The sequence below is a fragment of the Homo sapiens genome, chromosome 14 (assembly GCF_000001405.40).
Source record: "Homo sapiens chromosome 14, GRCh38.p14 Primary Assembly".
Lineage (NCBI taxonomy): Eukaryota > Metazoa > Chordata > Mammalia > Primates > Hominidae > Homo > Homo sapiens.
In genome coordinates, this window is record NC_000014.9 from 50,310,171 (window position 1) to 50,334,314 (window position 24,144).

The 24,144-nt window shown below is 41.4% G+C and overlaps 3 protein-coding genes across 42 annotated transcripts in view, besides 3 other annotated features; 1 reads left to right on the plus strand and 2 right to left on the minus strand.

The window, feature by feature from the left end:
* L2HGDH (L-2-hydroxyglutarate dehydrogenase) overlaps window positions 1–2,059 on the minus strand; it is a 69,796-nt gene extending 67,737 nt beyond the window's left edge. For 6 of the 11 annotated variants that reach the window (XR_007064047.1, XR_007064046.1, NM_001425212.1 and 3 more), the window contains exon 1: window positions 1,841–2,059. Coding sequence is in view for 5 of the 11 variants with exons in the window: in NM_001425212.1 (NP_001412141.1) it covers window positions 1,841–1,980 (140 nt within the window). In the remaining 6 variants the exon portion in view is untranslated. Of the gene's footprint in view, window positions 1–1,120; window positions 1,786–1,840 lie in introns of those variants that run through there. The other 5 variants (NM_001425213.1, NM_001425214.1, NM_001425215.1 and 2 more) reach the window with 3 other exon arrangements.
* On the plus strand, window positions 1,346–17,787 carry DMAC2L (distal membrane arm assembly component 2 like). Of its 15 annotated transcripts, XM_047431271.1 has the most exons (7): window positions 2,154–2,890; window positions 4,421–4,456; window positions 11,141–11,206; window positions 11,313–11,424; window positions 12,341–12,549; window positions 13,775–13,946; window positions 15,439–17,787. In XM_047431271.1, exons 4-7 carry the CDS (start codon window positions 11,318–11,320, stop codon window positions 15,551–15,553), a joined length of 603 nt encoding a protein of 200 aa, XP_047287227.1. In that variant the 5' UTR covers window positions 2,154–2,890; window positions 4,421–4,456; window positions 11,141–11,206; window positions 11,313–11,317; the 3' UTR covers window positions 15,554–17,787. The 15 variants fall into 15 exon arrangements, with proteins under 15 accessions (NP_001369438.1, XP_047287227.1, NP_001357534.1 ...); NM_001370605.1 differs by lacking the exon at window positions 11,141–11,206; NM_001382507.1 differs by lacking the exon at window positions 11,141–11,206 and having other exon boundaries at window positions 2,154–2,219.
* Window positions 2,119–2,248: a silencer, noted in NCBI's record as "silent region_5720". NCBI's record gives its function as "represses an Ori minimal core promoter by ATAC-STARR-seq in GM12878 lymphoblastoid cells {active_cell/tissue: GM12878}" and the evidence as "EXISTENCE:reporter gene assay evidence [ECO:0000049][PMID:35858748]".
* Window positions 2,309–2,538: a silencer, noted in NCBI's record as "silent region_5721". NCBI's record gives its function as "represses an Ori minimal core promoter by ATAC-STARR-seq in GM12878 lymphoblastoid cells {active_cell/tissue: GM12878}" and the evidence as "EXISTENCE:reporter gene assay evidence [ECO:0000049][PMID:35858748]".
* Window positions 10,901–10,960: an enhancer, noted in NCBI's record as "active region_8355". NCBI's record gives its function as "activates an Ori minimal core promoter by ATAC-STARR-seq in GM12878 lymphoblastoid cells {active_cell/tissue: GM12878}" and the evidence as "EXISTENCE:reporter gene assay evidence [ECO:0000049][PMID:35858748]".
* The window catches only part of CDKL1 (cyclin dependent kinase like 1), a 71,034-nt gene continuing 62,984 nt past the window's right edge, over window positions 16,095–24,144 (minus strand). For 8 of the 16 annotated variants that reach the window (NM_001423763.1, NM_001423764.1, NM_004196.7 and 5 more), the window contains 2 exons: window positions 22,092–22,262; window positions 16,095–20,011 (listed from right to left, as the gene is read on the minus strand). In NM_001423763.1, the coding sequence (NP_001410692.1) occupies window positions 19,904–20,011; window positions 22,092–22,262 (279 nt within the window). In that variant the 3' untranslated portion in view covers window positions 16,095–19,903. Of the gene's footprint in view, window positions 22,523–24,144 lie in introns of all 16 variants that reach the window. The other 8 variants (NM_001367064.3, NM_001423767.1, NM_001367065.3 and 5 more) reach the window with 3 other exon arrangements.

Sequence of the window (24,144 nt, forward strand, 5' to 3'; positions counted from 1 at the left end):
AAGATGTTTTCATTGGGGTAAATGGGGTGAAGGGTACATGGGATCTCTTTGTACTGTTTATTTATTTTTATTTTTTATTTTGTAGAGAAGGGATCTTATATTTTGCCCAGGCTGGTCTCAAACTTCTGGGCTCAAGTGATCCTCCTGCCTCAGCCTCCCAAAGCACTGGGATTACAGGCCTGAGTCACCACGCTTGGCCTGTACTATTTTTGCAATTTCCAATGGATCTATAATTACTTCAAAATAAAAGTATAGGCCAGGCACGGTGGCTCACACCTGTAATCTCAGCACTTTGGGTGGCTGAAGAGGGAGGTTCACTTGAGGCCAGGGGTTCGAGACCACCCTGGGCAACGTCTCTACAAAAAAATAGGAAAATAATTAGCTGCCTGTGGTCCCAGCTCCTGGAGGACAGGAAGCATTGGGGAGGGGGGCTGAGGAGGGAGGATCGCTTGAGCCCAGGAGGGTGGAGGCTGCAGTGAGCTATGATTGTGCCACTGCACTCCAGCCTTGGCAACACAGTGAGACCCTGACTCCAAAAATTTTTTAAAAAAACATTTTAAGTATAAACAAAACTTTCACTAGCCCTACTTTTCTTTCCTTAAGAAAAGCTTCCCAAAAGAACTGTCCACATGCCCCATAACAAATCACAATCGCTATTACTGGTATCCCACTCTACTCCCCCTATCCACCAACACGCAGCAGCCAGAGTCAACTTTTAGAACATCAACATTTAATTATTAGCCTCTTCTTTTTTTCTTTTCTTTTCTTTTTTTTTTTTTTTTTTTTTTTGCGAGACAGAGTCTTGCTCTGTCGCCCAGGCTGGAGTGCAATGGTGCGATCTCAGCTTACTGCAATCTCCGCCTCCCAGGTTCAAGCGATTCTCCTAAGGCTCCGGAGTAGTTGGGATTACAGGCGCCCACCACCACGCCAGGCTAATTTTTTTGTATTTTTAGTAGAGACGGGGTTTCACCATGTTGGTTAGGCTGGTCTCCAACTTCTGACCTCAGGCGATCCGCCCGCCTCGGCCTCCTAAAGCGTAGCCTCTTCTTAAAACCCTTTTAAATAGCTTCCCGTGGCTCTTAGAATAAAAGTCAACGTGTGGTTAAAATAAACTAAAAACCTTGCTGTGATGTAGTCCTTCTGGGTCATTCCACACCATATGTCTTCCACTAAACTTCAGTCACACTCATATGGCCCACCTTCTAGTCGTCAAAATAGCCAAAACCTCTCCAAGCCTTACAGCCTTCACACAAACTGTTTCTTCTACAGAGGACAGAGAAAGACAATGGTTTCGAATGTGACGTCCAAACTATAAATCACAGGACACTGAATTCTGCGGGCTTTCATTAGCATAAGAGCTGCCTCCGACGGGGGCAACACTATGCGGGGTGTGCCAGGAACTGATTTAAGACTGTATTCAGATCTTCCAAGCAACGCCAAAGACTCCAGCTTATAAAGAGCATATTTGATTGCTTATACTGTGTGCTAGGTCCTTTTATCCTTCAAATGACCACCTACAGGAGAGACTAAGGTCCAATTCACAACTGAGCCTTTAAGGAGGTTAAGTAACTAGCCCAGAGTTCAACAGAAAGTGGACGGGTTGTTCAAAGCCAGAGCTACTCCCGACCTCTACTCTATACACTGCCTTTCCTCCGGCCCGTAAATACAACGAATGAACCTGCAGGTTGGTAGCTCCTGGGATCCGAGGTTGGAGTGCCACAGGACCCCAACCTGCTCTCACCCCGGGACAGGGAAATACGAACAGGGGCACAGGTCCACCACCAGGTGCCTCCGCGAGGGGCAGCAGCGCAGGCGGCGGGGAGGACCAGCGGCCACTCACCTGGTGCTGGCGCTGCGGCTACCTCCACACAGCGGTCTTGGCCTCCCAGACGCGAACCCGCACGCCCCAGGGGAGCCACCGGCGAAAAGCCCGCGGGCCCGTCCGCAGGCACCAACCAAATAACGCAGCGCTGGCACCATCCCCTACGCACGCTCCCCTCCCTCAGCGCTCAGAAGAAGCCACTTGACCCTCCACGGCCGAGGACCCGCGCTCTTTAGCCCCGCCCCTCACGCGGGGGCCAATGAAGTGGCGCGCCTTCGCCCCATGTGGGAGAGGCTGCGGTGGCCAATAGGCGCGCGCGTCGGAGGGCGAAGGGCCGGCCAGGGTGCCGCAGACGCGGGGACGCTGGCTCGCTCCCTCCCTCCCTCCCTCCGACGCTGTGAGTAGAGAAGCTAGGCCCCGAGCCGGGCGGGACTAGGGTGGTGGTTGTGTTCTGCCCTCGCCCGTCGCCAACGCTGGGCTGACTGAAAACCTGGCCCTTTGGGTCGCGCGTCTTCGACCTTCACCGCCATGCGGACATGGGGCCGTGGGAGAAACTCTGGGCGGGATTACGGTGAAAATTCTTGTTTGGGCGGGCCCTGCGGCTTCTTTCTTCCGGCTCGCCCTCGGCCCCGCCCCCGCCCCGCCCCCGCTCCAGCTCCAGCCGGGTCCTCGCTCGGCCCCGCACGCGGCCCGCGGTAGACGGAGGGCCTGGGCACCCACCGTCTCCATCCCGGCCCCAGCCCAGTCGAGCGTCCACTAGAAGGGCGCTCCCTGTCCGGCCCTAATCCTCGCTCCTCACGGAGGCTCTTTGTCACAGCGAAGACTGACAGCCCGCAGTCTTCTGGACTTCTTTTATGGGGCTCCTGGCGGTGCTATTCATTCAGTCATTGATTCGTCTTGTAAATATGGAGCGCCTGCTCTGTACTCGACCCGGCACTGGGTACCGGAAGAACCAGACAGCTCGGTTTTTGCCACCATTTATAAGTCTGTGTCCTTTTCTTGAGTACTGAACCGAGATACAGTTTTAAATGTGCTGTGCGGTCTCTGAGCAGCGACTCACCTGTGCAGGTCACTTCACCTGATTCCCTTTATGTAAAAATGAGGGCGATGGGCTGTGTAATCTCTAAAGGACCTTCTAACTCTTTAAAATTGTCACTGTGCCGGTGTTGCTAACACTCATTCTGTATGCTTGATGGCAGTTTTTAATTTTTAGGGTTAGGACAGCTGAACATAACAAATAGAATTATACAGATTTATTACCAGAAGGACTTCGTGTGCCTCTAAGAATCTTGGTTCCAGTCTTTGGTCAGGTAGCTCCAGGAAATCACTTCACCTCTTTGCCTCAGACCCTCCTCAGTGAACTAGGAATGATAGCAGTGTCTCCCTAGTCTTAGGGCCGTTGAGCGGATTACACGAGATAAGGTCAGCAGGTGTTTAGCACAGTGAAGCATTTGCTACGTGATGACATTTATTATGGTTAAAGGGTTTTACCACCAGAACAGTGGTACATAGTTTGCTTTATTTGTTAAAACAATGTAGAATATTGCCTGCTTGTTCCATCACAGATGAAAAAAAGAGATGGTTATTCAACTTTGTGAGGTAATTGTGGATTTCCATGCAATTGTAAGAATAGAGATTCTGTGTACCCTTTACCCAGTCTTCCCAGTGGTAGCATCTTGCAAAACTAGTACCATATCACAACCAGGTAATTGACATTCACACAATCCATTGATCTCATTCAGATTCCTCATTTTGTATTAGTGTTCTCTGTGTATATTTAGTTCTATATGGTTATCAGGTGTGTAGATTCTTGTATCCACCACCACAGTCAAGGTACAGCCCAGGTCCATCACCACAAGGGTCCCTCCAGTTGCCCTTTTATAACCACAACTTACCTTTGCAGCCCCACCCAATCTATTCTCTGTTTCTAAAATTTTGTTATATCAAGAATGTTACATAAATGTAATTATTGTAATTATACAGTATGTAACTTTTATTGACTCTTTTTCATTCAGCATAATCCCTTGAGATATATCCAAACTGTTACATGTATCAGTAGTTCCTTCCTTTTTATTACTGAGTGGTATTCCATAATGTAGATGTACTACAGTATTGATATGGTTTGGCTGTGTCCCCACCCAAATCTCATCTTGAATTGTAACTCACCATTCCCATGTGTTGTGGGAGGAACCAGGTGGGAGGTGATTGAATTATGGAGGCAGGTCCTTCCTGTGCTGTTCTCCAGATAGTGAATGAGCCTCACAAGATGTGATGGTTTTAAAAACGGGAGGTTTCCCTGCACAAGTTCTTTCTTTGCATGCTGCCATCCATGTAAGATGTGACTTGCTCCTCCTTGCCTTCCACCATGATTGTGAGGCCTCCCCAGCCATGTGGAACTGTAAGTCCATTAAACCTCTTTTTCTTCTCGGTCTCGGGTATGTCTTTATCAGCAGTGTGAAAATGGACTAATACAAGTACATTCAACTGTTCACTCATTGAAGGACATTTGAGTTGTTTCTAGTTTTTAGCTATTGTGAATCAAGCAGCTGTGAACATGAGTGTACAGCCTTTTGTGTGAACCTGTTTTTGTTTCTCTAGGATAAGTGCCCAAGAGTACAATTGCTGGGTCATATGGTAAGTGCATGTTTATTTTTTATTTTTATTTTTGAGACAGGGTTATGCTCTGTTGCCCAGGCTGGAGTGCAGTGGTGCAATCTCAACTCACTGCGGCCTCTGCCTCCTGGTCTCAAGCAATTCTCCTGCCTCAGCCTCCTGAGTAGCTGGGACTATAGGCACATGCCACCACGCCCGGCAAACTCTCATATTTTTAGTAGAGATGCGGTTTCGCCATGTTGACCGGGCTGGTCTTGAACTCCTGACCTCAAGTGATCTGCCTGCCTCAGCCTCCCAAAGTGCTGGGATTACAGGTGTGAGCCACTGCACCCAGCCTATTGTATCATTCTTTTTTATTTATTTGCTTATTTATTTTTTTGAGACAGAGTCTCGCTCTGTCACCCAGGCTGGAGTGCAGTGGCATGATCTCAGCTCACTGCAAGCTCTGCCTCCCGGGTTCACACCATTCTCCTGCTTCAGCCTCCTGAGTAGCTGGGACTATAGGCACCTGCCACTATGCCCGGCTAATTTTTTATATTTTTAGTAGAGACAGGGTTTCACCGTGTTAGCCAGGATGGTCTCAATCTCCTGGCCTCGTGATCCACCCGCCTCGGCCTCCCAAAGTGTTGGGATTACAGGCATGAGCCACTGCGCCCAGCCTATTATGTCATTCTTATGCCTTTGCATCCTCATAGCTTAGCTCCCACTTTTGAGTAAGAACATACGATGTTTGGTTTTCCATTCCTGAGTTACTTCACTTAGAATAATAAACTCCAGGCCAGGTGCAGTGGCTCACGCCTGTAATCCCAGCACTTTGGGAGGCCAAGGCAGGTGGATCACGAGGTCAGGAGATTGAGACCATCTTGGTCAACATGGTGAAACCCCATCTCTACTAAAATACAAAAAATTAGCTGGGCGTGGTGGCATATGCCTGTAATCCCAGCTACTTGGGAGGCTGAGGCAGGGGAATCACTTGAACCTGGGAGGCGGAGGTTGCAGTGAGCTGAGACTGCGCCACTGCACTCCAGCCTGGCGACAGAGCAAGATTCTGTTTCACAAAAAAAAAAAAAAAAAAAAAAAAAAAGAGTAATAAATTCCAATCCTATTCAGGTTGCTGCGAATGCCATTAATTCATTCCCTTTTATGGCTAACTAGTATTCCATCATATATATATACCACAGCTTCTTTATCCACTCATTGATTGATGGGCATTTGGGTTGGTTCCACATTTTTTGCAATTGCAAATTGTGCTGCTATAAACATGCGTGTGCAAGTATCTTTTTTGTATAATGACTTCCTTTCCTCTGGGTAGCTACCCAGTAGTGGAATTGCTCGATCAAATGGTAGTTCTAATTTTAGTTATTTAAGGAATCTCCACACTGTTTTCCATAGTGGTTGTACTAGTTTACATTCCCACCAGCAGTGTAGAAGTGTTCCCTTTACACCATATCCACGCCAACATCTATTTTTTTTTAATTTTTTGATTATGGCCATTCTTGCGGGGAGTAAGGTGGTATCACATTGTGGTTTTGATTTGCATTTTCCTGATGATTAGTGATGTTGAGCATTTTTTCATATATTTCTTGGCCATTCATATATCTTCTTTTGAGAATTGTCTTCATGTCCTTAGCCCACTTTTTGATGGGATTGTTTTTTTCTGCTAATTTGTTTGAGTTCATTGTAGATTCTAGATGTTAGTCTTCTGTCAGATGTATAGATTGTGAAGATTTTCTCCCACTATGTGGGTTGTCTGTTTACTCTGCTGACTGTTCCTTTTGCCACGCAAAAGCTCTTTAGTCCCAACTATTTATCTTTGTTTTTATTGCATTTGCTTTTGGGTTCTTGGTCATGAAACCCTTGCCTAAGCCAATGTCTAGAAGGGTTTTTCTGATGTTATCTTCTAGAATTTTTATAGTTTCAGGTCTTAGATGTAAGTCCCTGATCCATCTTGAGTTGATTTTTGTATAAGGTGAGAGATGAGGATCCAGTTTCATTCTCCTACATGTGGCTTGCCAGTTATCCTAGTACCATGTGTTGAATAGGATGTCCTTTCCCCACTTTATATGTTTGTTTGTTTTGTTGAAGATCAGTTGGCTATAAGTATTTGGGTTTCTTTCTAGGTTCTCTGTTTTGTTCCATTGGTGTATGTGCCTATTTTTATACCAGTACCATGCTGTTTTGGTGACTATGGCCTTATGGTATAGTTTGAAATCAGGTAATGTTGTGCCTCCAGATTTATCTTTTTGCTTAGTCTTGCTTTGGCTATGTGGGCTCTTTTTTGGTTCTATATGAATTTTAGGATTGTTTTTTCTAGTTCTCTGAAGAATGATGGTATTTTTATGGGAATTGTATTGATGGGAAGACTAATATCCAGAATCTGCAATGAACTTGAAGCAATTTGTAGATTGCTTTTGGCAGTATGATCATTTTCACAATGTTGACTCTATCCATCCATGAGCATGGGATGTGTTTCCATTTGTTTATGTCATCTGTTATTTCTTTCAGCAGTGTTTTGTAGTTTTCCTTTTAGAGGTCATTCACCTCCTTGGTTAGGCATATTCCTAAGTTTTTTTTGTGTGTGTGGCTATTATAAAAGGGGTTGAGTTCTTGGTTTGATTCTCAGCTTGGTCACTGTTGGTGTATACTAAAGGTACTAATTATGTCATTAATTTTGTATTCTGAAACTTTGCTGAATTCATTTATTGGTTCTAGGAGCTTTTTGGAGGAGTCTTTAGGGTTTTCTAGGCATACAATCATATCATTAGCAAATAGCAAGTTTGACTTCCTCTTTACCGATTTGGATGCCTTTTATTTCTTTCTCTTGTCTGATTGCTCTAGCTAGAACTTCCAGTACTATGTTGAATAGAAGTGATGAGAGTGGGGCTGGGTGCCGTGGCTTATGCCTGTAATCCCAGCACTTTGGGAGGCCAAGGCGGGTGGATCACCTGAGGTCAGGAGTTCAAGACCAGCCTGGCCAACATGGTGAAACCCCATCTCTACTAAAAATACAAAAAATTAGCCGGACGTGGTGGTGGGCGCCTGTAATCCCAGCTACTTGGAAGGCTGAGGCAGGACAATCGCTTGAACCCAGGAGGCAGAGGTTGCAGTGAGCTGAGGTCATGCCATTGCACTCCAGTCTGGGCAACAAGAGTGAAACACTATCTCCAAAAAAAAAAAAGGGGGGTGGTGGTGGTGAGAGTCGGCATCCTTATCTTGTTCCAATTCTTGGAGGGAATGCTTTAAACTTTCCCCGTTCATATTATGTTGGCTGTGGGTTTGTCATAGATGGCATTTATTACTTTGAGGTATGTCCCTTGTATGCCAATTTTGCGGAGGATTTTAATCACAAAGGGATGCTGGATTTTGTCAAATGCTTTTTCTGCATCTATTGAGATGATCATGTGATTTTTGTTTTTAATTGTGTTTATGTGGCATATAACATTTATTGACTTGTGTATGTTAAGCCATTTGTGCATCCCTGTATGAAACTCAATCATGGTGGATTATCTATGGCAGCAGTAATTTAGTAGTGGTTATTTTCTAATTTGCGTTTAACTGGGTTCTTTTAATTTATTAGAGCTAGATTCACTAACTTCCCACTAGAGGTCTCCTCTTTCCCTATAGAAAGCGTTCCCAAAGGCAACTGTTTGGACTCAAGTAGGAATAATTTGCAAAATCATTAGCAAAGTTGCAGTTGAAATGTAAAAACCTACCAATTTTTGTTACCTCTATTGCCAAATATAAATTTAATTTTTATGTTTAAAACATTTTAAATCTAATATCTTGTGTTTTTAGAGATTACAGCCTAAGTAAATTTGGCCTTTCGTTTAAGCTAAATTATAAGATGGGCCAAAATGAATCAAGCAAAAATATTCAGTTTTCAAAGACCACTCTAATTCACCTGCTTAATAACAGTTTAACTGGTTTTACCTTTCTCCATGGAAACATGTCAACCGTTGAAGACTATTAATAAACAAATATTTATTAAACTTTTGCATTATGCTGAGAAAAATGGAAATGAATAAGATGCCATCCTTGTTCTTTTACTTTGCATACTCTTTTTTCGTTCTAACTGGAATTTTTTTTTTCATATTCTGCTTCTGCTTCTAGACTAACTGAAAACTCTTAATCATTAAGACCCATTTCAAAAGACACCTCTAGTGTGAAGGCCTTCTTCTCACTCCCTTCTCTAGATTCTCATGGTATTTGTTCACACCTCTATTATCCAACCACGTTGGGTGTTATTTATCTCTTTATATGTTATCTCTCTTTATTAAATTATATGTTCTATGAGGTCAGGAACCTTGTCTTTCTGTGTGTCTCTTTCTCCTTTGTTCTTGTTTTTGTTTGTTTTGTCTTACCATTGTTGCCTTTGCACTAAGTATAGCAGACATTCAATAAACATTTTTTGAGCGAATGAATGAATGGACATGGCATTTGAGTAAGGTCTTGAGGTTGGGTGGGATTTCCACAGATTGATGGTGATGGGGGAGGGAGGCTAAGAGAAAACAGCCTGAGTAGAAGCTGGGAAAGCCCATATTTGTAAATAAGATTGACAACTAATAGAGTTATTCAAGGTGGGCACAGGCAGAGAGCGCTTTAACAAAAAGTTGGAAAGGGTTGAGAACATGATAAGAGGTAGTGGAGCAGAGGCTTGCAGTAATGAAGACGGCTGTAGTGAAAAAGGGATGAAAGGGTAGTTGGTTCTGTCTTCAGTTCACATCTCTCACTGTTCCACGGCCTCAGCATCCTCAATCACTTCCTCAGCTTTAAGGTGTTTCCCTCTCAGGCATCTTTCTAGTCCTCTTCTTTCTCTTGAATTCCAGAACCATGTAATGATTGAGGAAAGGACCCTGGGCTGGTAGAGAACTGGGTTCAGGTTTCAACACTGCCACCAATTAGTCATGAAACATTGAGCAAGTCCCTTTAAACACATGCATTTATTAATACCCCACCTTGTTTCAGAAAGGATTTAGGATGTCAGGAAGTTACTTAATATCAGGGCTTCAGTTTCCTCACCTCTAAATGAGAGATTTCATCCAGGTGATCTAAATTCCTTACAGCTCTAATGTTTTGTGACCTCTGATTCCAATGATTTGTTGGTCATCTGCACTTAGAAATCCTGCTAACACTTAGTATGTAGATTATGAAAAACTAAAAGAAAAAAATCTGAACCTATAACCCTGTTCTCCTAATGTGATTTCTTTTAATGGCATCACCATCCTACTACCAGTGACCCAGGGCCAAAACTTGGTGTCATTTTCAACTCCTCTAGCCCTTGCCCCTACATCTCACTTAACTGAGTCATATGGAACTAACTATGTAATGTCATTCCCATCCTTCCCCAACTAGGCCCTTTCGTATGGCCTCATGTGATTGAAGCCCTTGCTGACTGGCTGTCCCATTCTGTTGACCCTTAATCTTGATGCTGCTGAGTCAATTTCTTGAAGCACAACCGTAACAATGCCAATGCTTTGTTCTATTTTATTTATTTATTTATTTTTGAGATGGAGTCTCACTCTGTTGTCCACGCTGGAGTGCAGTCTGGTACAATCTCAGCTTACTGCAATCTCTGCCTCCCGGGTTCAAGCGATTCTCCTGCCTCAGCCTCCCGAGTAGCTGGGACTACAGGCGCATGCCACCATGCCTGGCTAATTTTTTATTTTTTTATTTTTTGGTATTTTTAGTAGAGACAGAGTTTCACCGTGTTAGCCAGGATCGTCTCGATATCCTGACCTCGTGATCTGCCTGCCTCGGCCTCCCAAAGGGCCAGTGCTTTGTTCAGAAACCTCGGTGACTCCCTGCTACATACAGAATACAGTCCAAATTCCCTGGCTGAGCATGCAAAACACTTCACGACCTGACTGTGCAAGTTGCCTGCCTCTTCTCATGACTCACATGTGCTAGTGAAACTGAAAATAACATGCCTTAAATGTTCCTGCTTCAGCTAATAATCTGGCATAATTTTTCCTGGCACCTTTGTTTGTTGAAATCCTTTCTGTCCTTATTTTAACTCTTTTGAGGCATTTATCAAGTTCTGTCACTTATTTTAACTACTTGATAACGTGTCTTAGCCCACTCCATCCTGCATTAAATTGTCAGATGCTCAAAGCAAACACCATGTTTCATTTATCTTTGTCTCCCCATCTCCTCCTCCCTGCCACATCCAGTCCCCTGCACACACCTAGCATACTACTAGGGAAACTTGAATTGAGGTCAATCAAATCGAAACCTACTCCAGGAATCACTTTCTCAAATTATGGTTATACATTTTGACAGCTGGAAATTAAGCAAATCATCTCATTTTACAAATGAGAAAACCAGAGGTCAGAGAGGTGAAGTTACTTGCCCAGTCTTTCCCAGCTGCCCTTAAAACAGTTTTTTTGTTTACACTGCTCTGGTAACACCACTTGCAGCCTTGTCATAGGTAGATCTATTTTCATGTCTCCTCTTCTTTCCTGGATGCAAGCATCTTAACCTTGACACGTTGCTCTTTCGGTGATTTTAGTCTGTCATTTTGATGCTGGAAATATAGATGGGGAATAGAGGAGCCAGCTTCAGCAAATTCATAGCTACAGCGCCTGAATGGACACTAGATGGCAGTACGACAGGCAGACTCCAATTGAGGTTTCAACAGTGGAACTTAACGTTCTAGCCGGAAGGAGCCTTAGACACCATCCAGTCCAACCCCTCATTTTTTTGCAGCAAACAAATAAAAAACCCCAAGAACAAGAAACAGGAGTGACTTGCTCAGTAATTGTTGAGTGGCAAGTGAGTCATCAGCTTTATCAGTACAAGAGCATTGACTCTGAAGTAAGTTGCTATATGTATGGGACTCGGATGATGATCTAATGTAAGTACTGTTTTGTGTGTCTAGATCAAATGATGCCGTTTGGAAAAATTTCCCAGCAGTTGTGTGGCGTAAAGAAACTCCCATGGTCATGTGACTCCAGATACTTCTGGGGCTGGTTGAATGCAGTGTTTAATAAGTAAGTTACTCTAAATAAAGTGAAGAAATGTGGAGATGGTTACAGCTAAATAAGTTCCCAATAGCTTGTTTGGCTATTTCTCATATTTACAGTTTGTGCAGTGTGATCCTAATTTTGTTTACAAACAAACAAAACCCACACAAACATGGAAAAAACACCAGAAAAACAGATTACAAAATATTAATTGTGGCTGTTTGGGTTGCAGGATTTCGATGATTTTTCTTACTTGTCCTTTTGATATATTTCAAGTTTTCTAAAACATTTTATAATCAGAAAAACTTATTAAATATAATTTTAAAGTATTTTATTTTTATGGCTTTTTAAAGGAATGTAGTTAACCTTTTGAATTCTATCAAAGTAACTTGGGTTTTCAAAAAATTAGTGGGTGGCACACTTAGAAATGTCATTTTGAAACTTGAAACTAACCTTCTAATTACTTAATACAGCATTATGATCACTAGCTAGAGAAAAAAGCATATGTAGAAATTAATAAATATCACTTAATGAGATTAATTTGACCACAGATTCAGAATTATTTTCTCTTTAATCTTTTGTTATTAATACAAATTCTAACCAAGTATAGTCATTCGTAGAATAGTTACTAAGTATCTCTGGTGTCAAGCACTGTACTATATGTGAATCAATGAAACGTTGTGTCTGATAAATTCATATAAAAATAATACGCCTTGACAGCGTTCACGTGGAAACAAAAACAAAACTAAAAAAGTCAGCAGATAGACTGCAGGTTTTTTTGTTTTTGTTTTTGTTTTTTTTGCATGGATCTCACTAATTTATCTTCCTCGTCAGTCACTTGAAATGAAAATTTGTTGCGTTCTGTATTATTTATGTCAGTTAATATAGTTAACAAGCTAGTGATTATTGTAAAAGCAAACTGCTTTTTTTCTCTTGCCAACAGGGTGGATTATGATCGCATCAGGGATGTTGGCCCTGACAGGGCGGCATCCGAGTGGTTGCTGCGCTGTGGGGCCATGGTGCGCTACCATGGCCAGGAGAGGTGGCAGAAGGACTACAACCACCTTCCAACAGGCCCTCTGGACAAATACAAGATTCAGGCGATCGACGCCACCGACTCTTGTATCATGAGCATTGGATTTGATCACATGGGTAACTACCCTATCGTTTTGCTAATAGAAAATGCAGATGATTTGCAGTGACCATTTTGTTGCAGTTGACTCACGATTATAGTCATAGGTATGTCCTTTTTGCCCATTTCATTATAGTCAAGTTTGTTTCTTCCTGTGTTTGATATTTATTTTCAAATTAAATTGAGGTTACAGACACCTTCCTCTCCTTCCTCCTCTCACTAAGCTTGTTTCTGTATGTCTCTAGTCTTTGGTTTATTGACTTAAAATCCAGGGCCTTGTTTGTCAAACTATCTTTGTCAAACTTCTGTCATTGAGAAGCCCTCAATAATGCAGGAATAATTATATCCACACAGCTTCTGCTTACGTGGGCATTTTTTTTTCTTTCTTTCTTTTTTTTTTTTTTGAGACAGAGTCTTGCTCTGTCGCCTAGGCTGGAGTGCAGTGGCGCGATCTCAGCTCACTGCAAGCTCTGCCTCCCAGGTTCACGCCATTCTCCTGCCTCAGCCTCCTGAGTAGCTGGGACTATAGGCGCCCGCCACCATGCCCGGCTAATTTTGTTTTTGTATTTTTAGTAGAGATGGGGTTTCACCGTGTTAGCCAGGATGGTCTCGATCTCCTGACCTCATGATCCGCCTGCCTCGGCCTCCCAAAGTGCTGGGATTACAGGTGTGAGCCACTGCACCCGGCCTCTTTTTTTTTTTTTTTTTTTTTGAGACAGAGTCTCACTCTGTCACCAAGGCTAGAGTGCAGTGGCGTGATCTTGGCTCACTGCAACCTCTACCTCCTGGGTTCAAGTGATTCTCCTGCCTCAGCCTCCCAAGTAGCTGGGACTACAGGTGTGCACTACCACGCCAGGGTAATTTTTCTATTTTTAGTAGAGACAAGGTTTTGCCGTGTTGACCAGGCTGGTCTTGAATTCCCGACCTCAGGTGATCCACCCGCCTCAGCCTCCCAAAGTGCTGGGATTACAGGTGTGAGCCACTGGGCCTGGCCCTATGTGGGCATTTCTTTCCTCCAGTGTGTGGGCATCTGACTGCGGAATGGTCCTGTCCATCAGCACAAGCTCTATAGTGAATTCCTTATATGGTTAATAGGGTGAGCAGTCATTCCAGTTTTCATGGAACTAAGAGGTTTCCCAGGACATAGGACTTTCAGTCCTAAAACCAAGTCAGTCGTGGGCAAACCAGGACAGTTTGTCATCTTAGTGGTAAAGCAGATTCTTAATCTGTACTTTTTCTCCCCAGAGGGCCTAGAGCATGTTGAAAAAATAAGGCTGTGCAAGTGTCATTATATCGAGGATGACTGTTTGCTGAGACTTAGTCAACTTGAAAATTTACAAAAAACCATATTGGAAATGGAAATAATATCCTGTGGGAATATCACAGACAAAGGCATCATTGCTTTGCGTCATTTAAGGTAGATGATCAAAGCCAAAGTGGAAACTTGATAATGCTGTTAAGGTGAATAGTTAGAATTTAATTGACTGTGAGGGGTGGTGTCTTTTTTTAGTTCTAAAAAAGATAATTTTAAAAAATGACCTCACTTTCATCTGTAATATTTTAAAACAGCTAAAATGATCAACCTTAATACATTAATGTTGTATTGAATTTTTTATAGAGTATATTTTAAAAAATTAAATCTACATTAAGCACCTAGCATGGTGCCTGCCACAGTAAGCCCTCAGTAAGCATCAACGATTATGCTTTCTCTCCTTTTTTTTTAAAGCAGTTTCTCCTATGGTTTTAATATTTTCAAGACATTTGGTATATACCTATTAGCATTTTACTGTGTAATTATTTTGCTTGAGGGGAGAAAAACCTTGAAATATTCACCTTTCTGTCTCTAGAGCCTAGAACACTGCCTGACACTGTAATAATCATCAAAAGCATGCATCCACTGGTTAGGAAAGCTGTTCTACATCCTCTTGTGCCACCAACCAGACCCACGCCATGGCCTGGAGCAAGTCACCTAATCCCAAATGCAAAAACAGATAATACTAGCAAGGAATGTTTAATTCTAAAATTTGTAAGATTCTGAGTCTCATCGGCGTGATGAAAAAAGAATAGAAGTTTTTTTGTTTGTTTGTTTTTTTGAGACGGAGTCTTGCTTTTGTTGCCCAGGTTGGAGTGCAGTGGCATGATCTTGGCTCACTACAACTTCCGCTTCCTGGGTTCAAGCGATTCTCCTGCCTCAGCCTCCTGAGTAGCTGGGATTAAAGGCGTGCACCACCACGCCCGGCTAATGTTTGTATTTTCAGTAGAGATGGGGTTTCGCCATGTTGGCCAAGCTGGTCTCGAACTCCTGAACTCATGATCCGCCCGCCTCGGCCTCCCAAAGTGCTGGGATTACAGGCGTGAGCCACCGTGCCCGGCCTAGAAGTTTGTTTAATCAAATCCCTGTGTTAGAGATCTCAACATTCAAATTATGTATCTAATTAATGTAGTTCTGCTTTAATATATAATGGATCTGCCAGTAACCTCAGTATCACAGGAAGTTTAAGAAATTTTAAACATTAGGACCAAAAGTACTAGATTGTTCATCTCTTACATTACTTGAAGCTTCAAAGCTTCATCTTTTAGTAGAAACTCTAGTATCTAAGAATTTTCCCAGCTTTTGCCCTTTTGGGGTTGAGATTCACATTTCATGTTTCACATGCAAAGAATATCTACATCATTATAAATATATATTTTATTTAGAATGATTCAGCTAGAAATATTGATGTAACCCAAAGTCTGTGTTACTTCCTGGCATGAATTTCATCTCTAAGGCTACTGCTCTAAAAGTAATTTTGAAGGCATAGGGTGATATAGATTCATTTTCTACATAATTTTCTTTCTTTAAGTCAGTAAATTGAATTTATTTTTAATGCTCTTGGCCAAATTGAAGTGACTTTTTTCTTTATTTGCAGAAACCTCAAATATTTGTTGTTAAGTGATCTTCCTGGAGTAAGAGAAAAAGAAAATCTTGTCCAAGCCTTTAAGACAGCACTGCCTTCTCTGGAACTAAAATTACAATTGAAGTAAAATAATGTGTCTTATTTCAGTATAAAGGATCATTTGAAACTGTTGATTCCAAACATCAACTAATATTATATAGTCATCAGTAGAATTATAAGGATGCCATATCATGACATTTTAGAAGTGGAGAGTGCATCATATGTAGAAAATAAATATTCAGACGTGGCTCATTAATGTTACTAAGTTGGAAGTGAGAATTTATGAACATTAATTCATTTTAAGAAAAGTGCAGCCAGGCGCAGTGGCTCATGCCTGTAATCCTAGCACTTTGGGAGGCCAAAGCGGGCAGATCACCTGAGGTCAGGAGTTCAAGACCAACCATGGCCAACATGGTGAAACCCCATCTCTACTAAAAAAACAAAATTAGCTGAATGTGGTGGTGCACGCCTTTAATCCCAGCTACTCTGGAGGCTGAGGCAGGAGAATCACTTGACTTGGGAGGTGGAGGTTGCAGGGACCCGAGATTGTGCCACTGCACTCCAGCCTGGGTGACAGAGCGAGACTGTCTCAAAAAAAAAAAAAAAAGAAAAATGTAAACTAGGTAACATTTTAATTCTAATATATTCATTTAATATGTAAATCTATAGATATCTCTTGATGTAGATATTTAGAATCCTTTAAAGTTATTTGTACAACAGATGTTTTTATTATAACAGTAATTTACATTTAACTTTAAAGTTAGTGAAGCATACTACCATAAATGCACAATTATGAAAAATTAGAAGCTAAATTACAGATTCATTGATGGAGTCAATTATGCAAAGTGGTCAGTGGTTGTTGAAGCATGCATTGCTTCAACAGGATTTGCGTGCATTTCCCATGATCCTGCATTCTTGTGTTCTTGATAGCATACAGACTTACTCAGAATCAACAGTTGCTGCTTAATTTGTCTATTTTGTAAGCTTAGGCTACTATTTTATTAAAACTGGACATAGATACTTGGCTGAATACAAATAGTTTTGCAGATTGCAATATAATAAAGGAAACAGTAAAAACTAGTGGGCTATGCTTAGGTTTTTCTTGAAACCTAACATTGCTTTAGGCTGGGTGCCGTGGCTCGTGCCTGTAATCCCAGTGCTTTGGGAGGCTGAGGTGGGAGGATCACTTGAGACCAGGAGTTTGAGACCAATTTGGGCAACACAGTGAGACCCCATCTCTAAAAAAATTTTAAAAATTAGGCAGGCATGGTGGTGCATACCTGTAATCTCAGATACTTGGGAGGTTGAGGTGGTAGGATTGCTTGAGCTCAGGAGTTTGAGGCTGCAGTAAGCTATGATCACGGCCACTGCACACCAGCCTGGTAGCCTGGGTGAAAGGGGGAGACCCTGTCTCTTAAAAAAAAGGGCTGGCCTGTAATCCCAGCACTTTTGAAGGCCAAGGCAGGCAGATCATTTGAGCCCAGGAGTTCAGGACGAGCCTGGGCAACATGGCAAAACCCTGTCTCTACCAAAAAATTAAAAAATAAAAAATAGCTGGGTGTAGTGGCACATGCCTGTAGTCCCAACTACTCAGGAGTCTGAGGTAGGAGGATCAGTTGAGCCCGGGAAGTCGAGGCTGCAGTGAGCCATGTTGGCACCACTGCACTCCAGCCTGGGCAACAGATTAAGACCCTGTCTCAAAAAAAAAAAAAAAAGTGAAAAATAGATAAAACAGGTCTTCATTGTTACCTGTGAGAAATGGCCCTGATTCTATTACTCTTATATGCCAGTTTGTTTATAGATTTCTGTGTGTTTGATTTGAACTTTTTTTTTTTTTTTTTTTTTTTTGAGACAGACTCTCACTCTGTTGCCCAGGTTGGAGTGCAGTGGTGTGATCTCAGTTCACTGCAACCTCTGCCTCCCGGGTTCAAGCAGTTCTCTGTCGCAGCGTCCCAGGTAGCTGGGATTACAGGCGCCCACCACCACGCCCAGCTAATTTTTGTACTTTTAGTAGAGACAGGGTTTCACCATCTTGGCCAGACTGGTCTTGAACTCCTAACCTCAGGATCCACCCGCCTCGGCCTCCCAAAGTGCTGGGAGCCACCGCGCCCAGCCTGGTTTGAACATTATTAAGCTGTTGAATATAAACTTGAAAATAATTTTCTATGATACAGCTTTCAGGTAGAAAAATGAATTTTCGTTGTGTTTAACAATGTTGTGTTTAACAGCTTATACAAATAACACAGTATAAATGGTAATTGCCACTGTCATTTTAAAAATCAGAAAATAGTAAATAAAAGGATGTGGAAGAGTCTCATGTGATACAGTGGAGATTTCATACCGAATAAAAGCATTATAAATATGGTTAAATTGAACATAAGCATAAATTTAACGGAACTCATTAGAAAAAAATAAGCCTTTTTTCTCAGGTTTGTTTCATTACTGTATGGTGAGACAACTGATTCACCACGATTTAGTCTAGAGCTACTTTTCTATTCTGAATAGTTTTTGGTAAAACTATTGGCTGAATTATTAGGCTGTTATAGTAATCTGCCTCCGTCAAGTGTATTTTCTTGGGTTAAGGAAAAAAAAATTTTTTTTTAACTATTCACGGAAGCTGGATGTTCTTCCTTGTCATTTGAATCAAGGCCGTCTAACAGGAATTGAATAATTCAGGGACTAGCATTTAACCCATATCAGGTCTAGGCAAGAAAAGACATACATTAGGAAGCCTTAGGATATCATTAAACTGCCTAGGGTAGTCAAAATTATTGAGTAGACACCAGACCTCAGTGGATTACTTAAGTAAATGGGGTCAGATGTCATCATGAAGAAAATTAACAGGAAGAAAATGAGAGTACAGAAGAAATGTTTTGAAAATAGAGTGAAATACAACTTTGAAGACCATGGCTGAGAAGTGCTAGGAATAGTGGCAGCACATCAACCAGAAATGGTGTTGAGCTGTAAGAAACAGACGTCAGGCTTCATATTGCCCTTGTGTCCAGGGGACAAGGATGAAAAAGCTTTTTGATTAAGAGCAGTAGACCAAATCAAAGCTAATTATGTCATTTTGGCCAGGCGCAGTGGCTCATGCCTGTAATGCCAGCACTTTGGAAGGCCAAGGCGCTCAGATCACGTGAGCCCAGGAGTTCAAGACCAGCCTGGGGAACATGGCAAAACCCTGCCTCTACCAAAAAATACAAAAAAATTAGCCAGTATAGTGGCACATGCCTGCAGTCCCAGCTACTTGGGAGGCTGAGGTGGCAGGTTTTATATATATATATAAAAAACACATATATATATATGTGTGTGTGTGTCATCATTTTAAGTCTCACTGTGCAAAGCTATGAGTCCTCAATACTTTGGACTACTTAGTGTAATATATTAGTTGTTAGAATAGCATATATATATATATATATATATATATACATACACATACATACACATACAAACATAGTGCAAAAAGATGTTTCAGGGAAAACATCAGTTTACAACATAATGTCTTTCATGACTCAAGTAAAAGCTCACAAGTAATTTCTTCTGAAACCCAGATCACTGAATTACAGGTTTGCCTATAGATGTACCAGGTCAAAGGCTGTGCCAGAGAGAATGAAATACTAATTATTTTCAGGCTGATAGGTTCAGTTCCTGCAAAGCCTGTAGGTCTTGCTCTACCCTTTGACTGCCTTAATCAGCTGCCGAGCTTCATGCCATTGTTTACAAGGGGAATTGGGTGAATAAATGTAGACAGATTACAGTAAATCCACGTTGCCTGCAAAAGTGACTAAGGTGTATCCTTTACTGATAAAGTAAGGATGAAATGTGGAAACATATAATTAAATTATAAATTACCAAGCTTTTGTGATAATTCATATGCTTTTAAATATTTTGAACCTAAGTGTTACCCTCAAAATGTTTTAAAATATAAAAATCAAGAAATAGAGCAAGCAGGAAATGGGATTTTAAACATTTTGATTTCAAGAAATAGAACTATCTTAAATATGATGCTGAAACAATCTGAGAGGCAGGAGATAGGACTCAGGCAACAGAGATCCGAGGAAATATATATGGGCATTTTGTGGTTCATTTTTCTTGTGTGGCATGTGGTACAACTGAAGCATAAATCTTTTTGATATCATCTAGTTTTGCCAGAGGTATGGGACAGTTCATATTCTGTCCATAAGTTCGGCTACTTACATAAACTGAAATACAAGTGCAACTCCAAACAGGTTTTTTCTTTTCTGGACACCATCATCAAGCATGGAAGACTGGATCTGGAATTTCCCTTCATATCTTGCCAGTTGGCCTCCCAGTTTCTTGCTTATGTTTTCTCCTGGTGTGTTTTCAACATTGTAATTGTTTTCAATCAACTGTATAAGTTTTATTTTCTTCAAAGCATCTATTGATTCCTTTTTTAAAATCATGTCTCCTAGCTCCTTTAAATGTTTGGAAAACGGTAGTTAAGTTTCTTGGTATCACAGTAGTACTTCTTATTATCCAAAGCTGGAAGGATGCTGCTGCCAGTTAGCTGGGGTAGGTACTGCAACTAAAAATGCAAAACACAGAATTAGGTTCAAAACTGTGCCATGCATTTTTTTCATTATTTAGAATATATCACAAAAGAGGTAATTAAGCTTTTTAGTATAGAAGTACTTTTTTTGCACACAATCCAGGACTTGAGAGAGGATTAAATGTTTCAATTTCGTCTTGGCTTTTCCTTTTAAATGTTTATATTAAAAAGGAAAAACATTCACATTAAAGAAGATTTAGAGAATATGAAAAGGGGAAAATCTACATGTTAACATTATTGGGAAGAAAACATAGATTTACAGGAGTTGAGAGCTTGCTGAGATCTTAGGGATCATTTAAGCCAATGCCTTGTCTTATAGCGGAGAAAACTGATAAACAGAGCACCTAGGCAATTTGCCTACTCACTCTCTTCCCTTAGTTAAAAAGGCAAATCAAGCATGGCACAGTGTACACTTGTAGTTCCAGCTACAAGGGAGGCTGAGTGGGAGCATCCCTTGAGCCCAGGAGAGCAGCCTGGGCAACATAGCAAGATCCCCATCTCTAAAGAAAAAAGACAAACTGCTTCCTTCAAGCTTCCTGAAAATGTTTGAATTTATTGTCAATGTCAAATGAAAGAACACACCTGTATTTTTTGTATTGCACTATATGTCCTTCGGTATCCCTAAAAAGGGAACTGTTTAGTACTTTTACTTTCTAGAAAAAAATTTTTCAGCCATTGTCCTCAGAAAAGTGCTTTTTAGTACTTTTAAATCAGTTGATTCTTTCAGGATTTAAAAGCAGTACACCAGGCCAGGTGCGGTGGCTCATGCCTGTAATCCCAGCACTTTGGGAGGCCAAGGCGGATGGATCACCTGAGGTCAGGAGTCGAGACCAGCCTGCCAACATGGCGAAACCCTGTCTCTACTAAAAATATAGAAATTAGTTAGGCATACTGGCACATGCCTGTAATCCCAGCTACTGGGGAGGCTGAGGCAGGAGACTCACTTGAACCTGGGAGGCAGAGGTTGCAGTGAGCCAAGATCATACCACTGCACTCTAGCCTGAGCGACAGAGTGAGACTCAGTCTCAAAAAAAATCAATACACCAAATAGTGGAGTTTCCCTATTTTTTCAAATAGAAATATTTCCATCAAAACCTTTTGCTCTCGAATACAAACTAATACTGAGATAAGGAATAATTCTGGCGTGGGGGTGGAGGAGTCTGTTTCTGGCCTGTTGTGCTACCTGGGTCACATATGATGGAGAATAAAACATTAATTTTGTAACTGTGATCTACATTAGGGCCCTGGAGTTCATGCTGTACTTGTTCCTCATGGACCTTTTTCACCCTTTTCCCTCCTCCCAGCCTCATACACAACACACCCTGGTACCATTCAGCATGCTGGGCAGTGGAAGCTGCAAAGAGAAAGACTAAGGCAAGATAATGTATAGCTTAAGGAGTACCTAGGTAGATCCTGAGGTTACCCAGGATCAGTTGTGGTTCCAACTACAGTTCATTCTAAATTATTACAGCTTTTGGCTTATCACAAGATGCTTAATGTAAGGCCATTTTATACCAATCAGGATTCTTCACAGTCTCCCAGTGTGCAGTTTGGATGCTGTTCTCTGGTTAAATGTATTCAGCTGATACCACCAAAAGCACTCATCACTGTATTTGCCCTAGCCAACTCTGACAAAGGATCAGGGAGGAAAACAGCTCCTTTTTTGGACAAACCTGGAGTGTTAGTTTTAATACTAAAAGTGTACATGATGACACAGAACTGCATGGGGAAAATCTGATTTCATTTTCCAAAGCCCAAAAAGTCTCCTTAGCTGGACTCATACTCATGTACCTTGTTGAGACCTGTGCTCATGCAGGCTGGAAACCCTGGCCCCTGTGTGGCATCAGGAAGCAGCAGGACAAGGGCACCTTTAGGATTCAGGGAGAGGGGGCTTCAGGAGACAGATGTCCCTGGGGCCCTGGTTGATAGATCCTATGACCTGTCTCCTAGTGCTGGAATGAGGATGCTGGAGCTGAAAGCCACAACTGCCATCCTCAAGTCTAGATTCCAACTCTCTGTACCAGGTGGCAGGTAGGAGATCATTTCAAATTATAACCTTGGATGTTTCTGTAAAGCAGTGGTGCTTTCGGCTCTTTCTTAGGGTCTTCCTTGTTGGTTTGTTGTGTTCTTTTGCCAAATCCTCTATTTCTCTGATGTTTTCAAAATATGGGTGATGCAACAGCTGTTCACATGTCAGCCTTTGAGTAGGGTCCATGTGGAGACAGCCCTAAAAGAACAGAAAATTCCTTCTTCTTACTTCTTCAAAATTGTATTAACTTATTAATGTCATTTTTTTCTTCTTTGAAAGATGAAACTTCAGTTGCAATAAGAAGGGGGAAAAGGCAGGAAAACACACCAGTCATGATTTTAGTTCCTTCCAGTCATTCCTAAATGGCACTCACATATTAAATAAATAGTTTCTAGAAGTAGTAATGAAAAATCATTTTCTCCACCTTATTCTGTTCTTGAAGCAATTGGTACTCTGCCCTGGGAGAGTAAGATATAATTTTAGAGTTTACCTCAGTGGCCAAATGGGGTAATCCATTTAGCCAGTTTGGTCCCTTGCATGTACTTTGTAAAAACTAGTGTTTTTATTTTAAAAATGATATTTACACATGATAACAAATACAGTTAATACAGCATACAGCAAAGTCTCCACCACTGTAGGTGTTCCCTTCACCCTTCTAAAATCAGCTACTTTTTTTTTTTTTTTTTTTTGGTGTATCCCTCCAGAAATAGTTGATGCATTATAAGTATATATGATCATGTATATAAGGAGAGGCATAACGTACATGCCTTTATATTACATCATTCTTAACTATTTTTGTTGCAACTAAGTAGGCCATGGAGCTCATTCTTGGATAGATTAGATTAAATTTCACAACTACATACTCCAAGGAATTGACTCAGTTTTTGTTGGTTATGTCAGAGGTGTTGAAACCACAGCAACACCATCTTGAATAGGGGCTGGGTAAAATAAGGCTGAGACCTACTGGGCTGCATTCCCAGGAGGTTTGGCATTGTTACTCACAGGATGAGATAGCAGGTCGGCACAAAATATAGGTCACAATGACCTGATGATAAAACAGGATGCAGTAAAGAAGCCGGCCAAAACCAAGATGGTGATGAAAGTGATGTCTGGTTGTCCTCACTCCTCGTTGTACACTAATTATAATGTGTTAGCATGCTAAAAGACACTTTCACCAGCACCATGACAGTCTACAAATACCCATAGCAATGCCCAGAAGTTACCCTAAATAGTCTAAAAAGGGGAGGAACCCTCAGTTCCAGAAAATCCCTGCCCTCTCCTGGAAAACTCATAAACCACCCCTTGTTTAGCATATAATCAAGAAATAACTGTAAGTATACTCAGTTGAGCAGCCCACAGCACTGCTGCCTATAGAGTAGCCATTCTTTTATTCCTTTACTTTGTTAATAAATTTGCTTCCACTTTACTGTGTGGACACGCCCTGAATTCTTTCTTGCATGAGGTCCAAGAACCTTCCTTTGGGGTCCGGATTGGGACCCCTTTCAGGTAACAGTTACATTATCATTTATATTAACTCATTATTTAATACATCAGTAAATAAATAATTTTTAAACCATGTGGGACATTGACTGTAACTTGCAAACATTTTAGTTGATACCATACCTCATTTTACATAAGAGCTATATTTCTAAATATATATATATATAAATATATATATCAAGTTTTTAAATGTACTTCAAATGTACCAGGGAGTTAGCTATTTAAAAGGATCCTGCAGCTAAGGATTTTCTGAAGAAAAAGTTCCCTTTGTAAAACAATCACCACCCCCCTGAAATTTCTGTTTTGTGTAAATTTAGACTTCAAATATAATGTTAGGTTTATTTAAAGTGGAAAATACTTGCAAATGTTTTCTTAATAGGATGTGATCCATTTAAAAAAATTGAAAATATACTTTTCCAAGGAGAATTTTTTTTTTTTTTGAGACGGAGTCTTACTCTGTCACCCAAGCTGGAGTGCAGTCGTGCAATCTCAACTCACTGCAACCTCCGCCTCCCAGGCTCAAGCAATTCTCCCGCCTCACCCTCCTGAGTAGTCGGGATTACAGGCGAGCGCCACCACG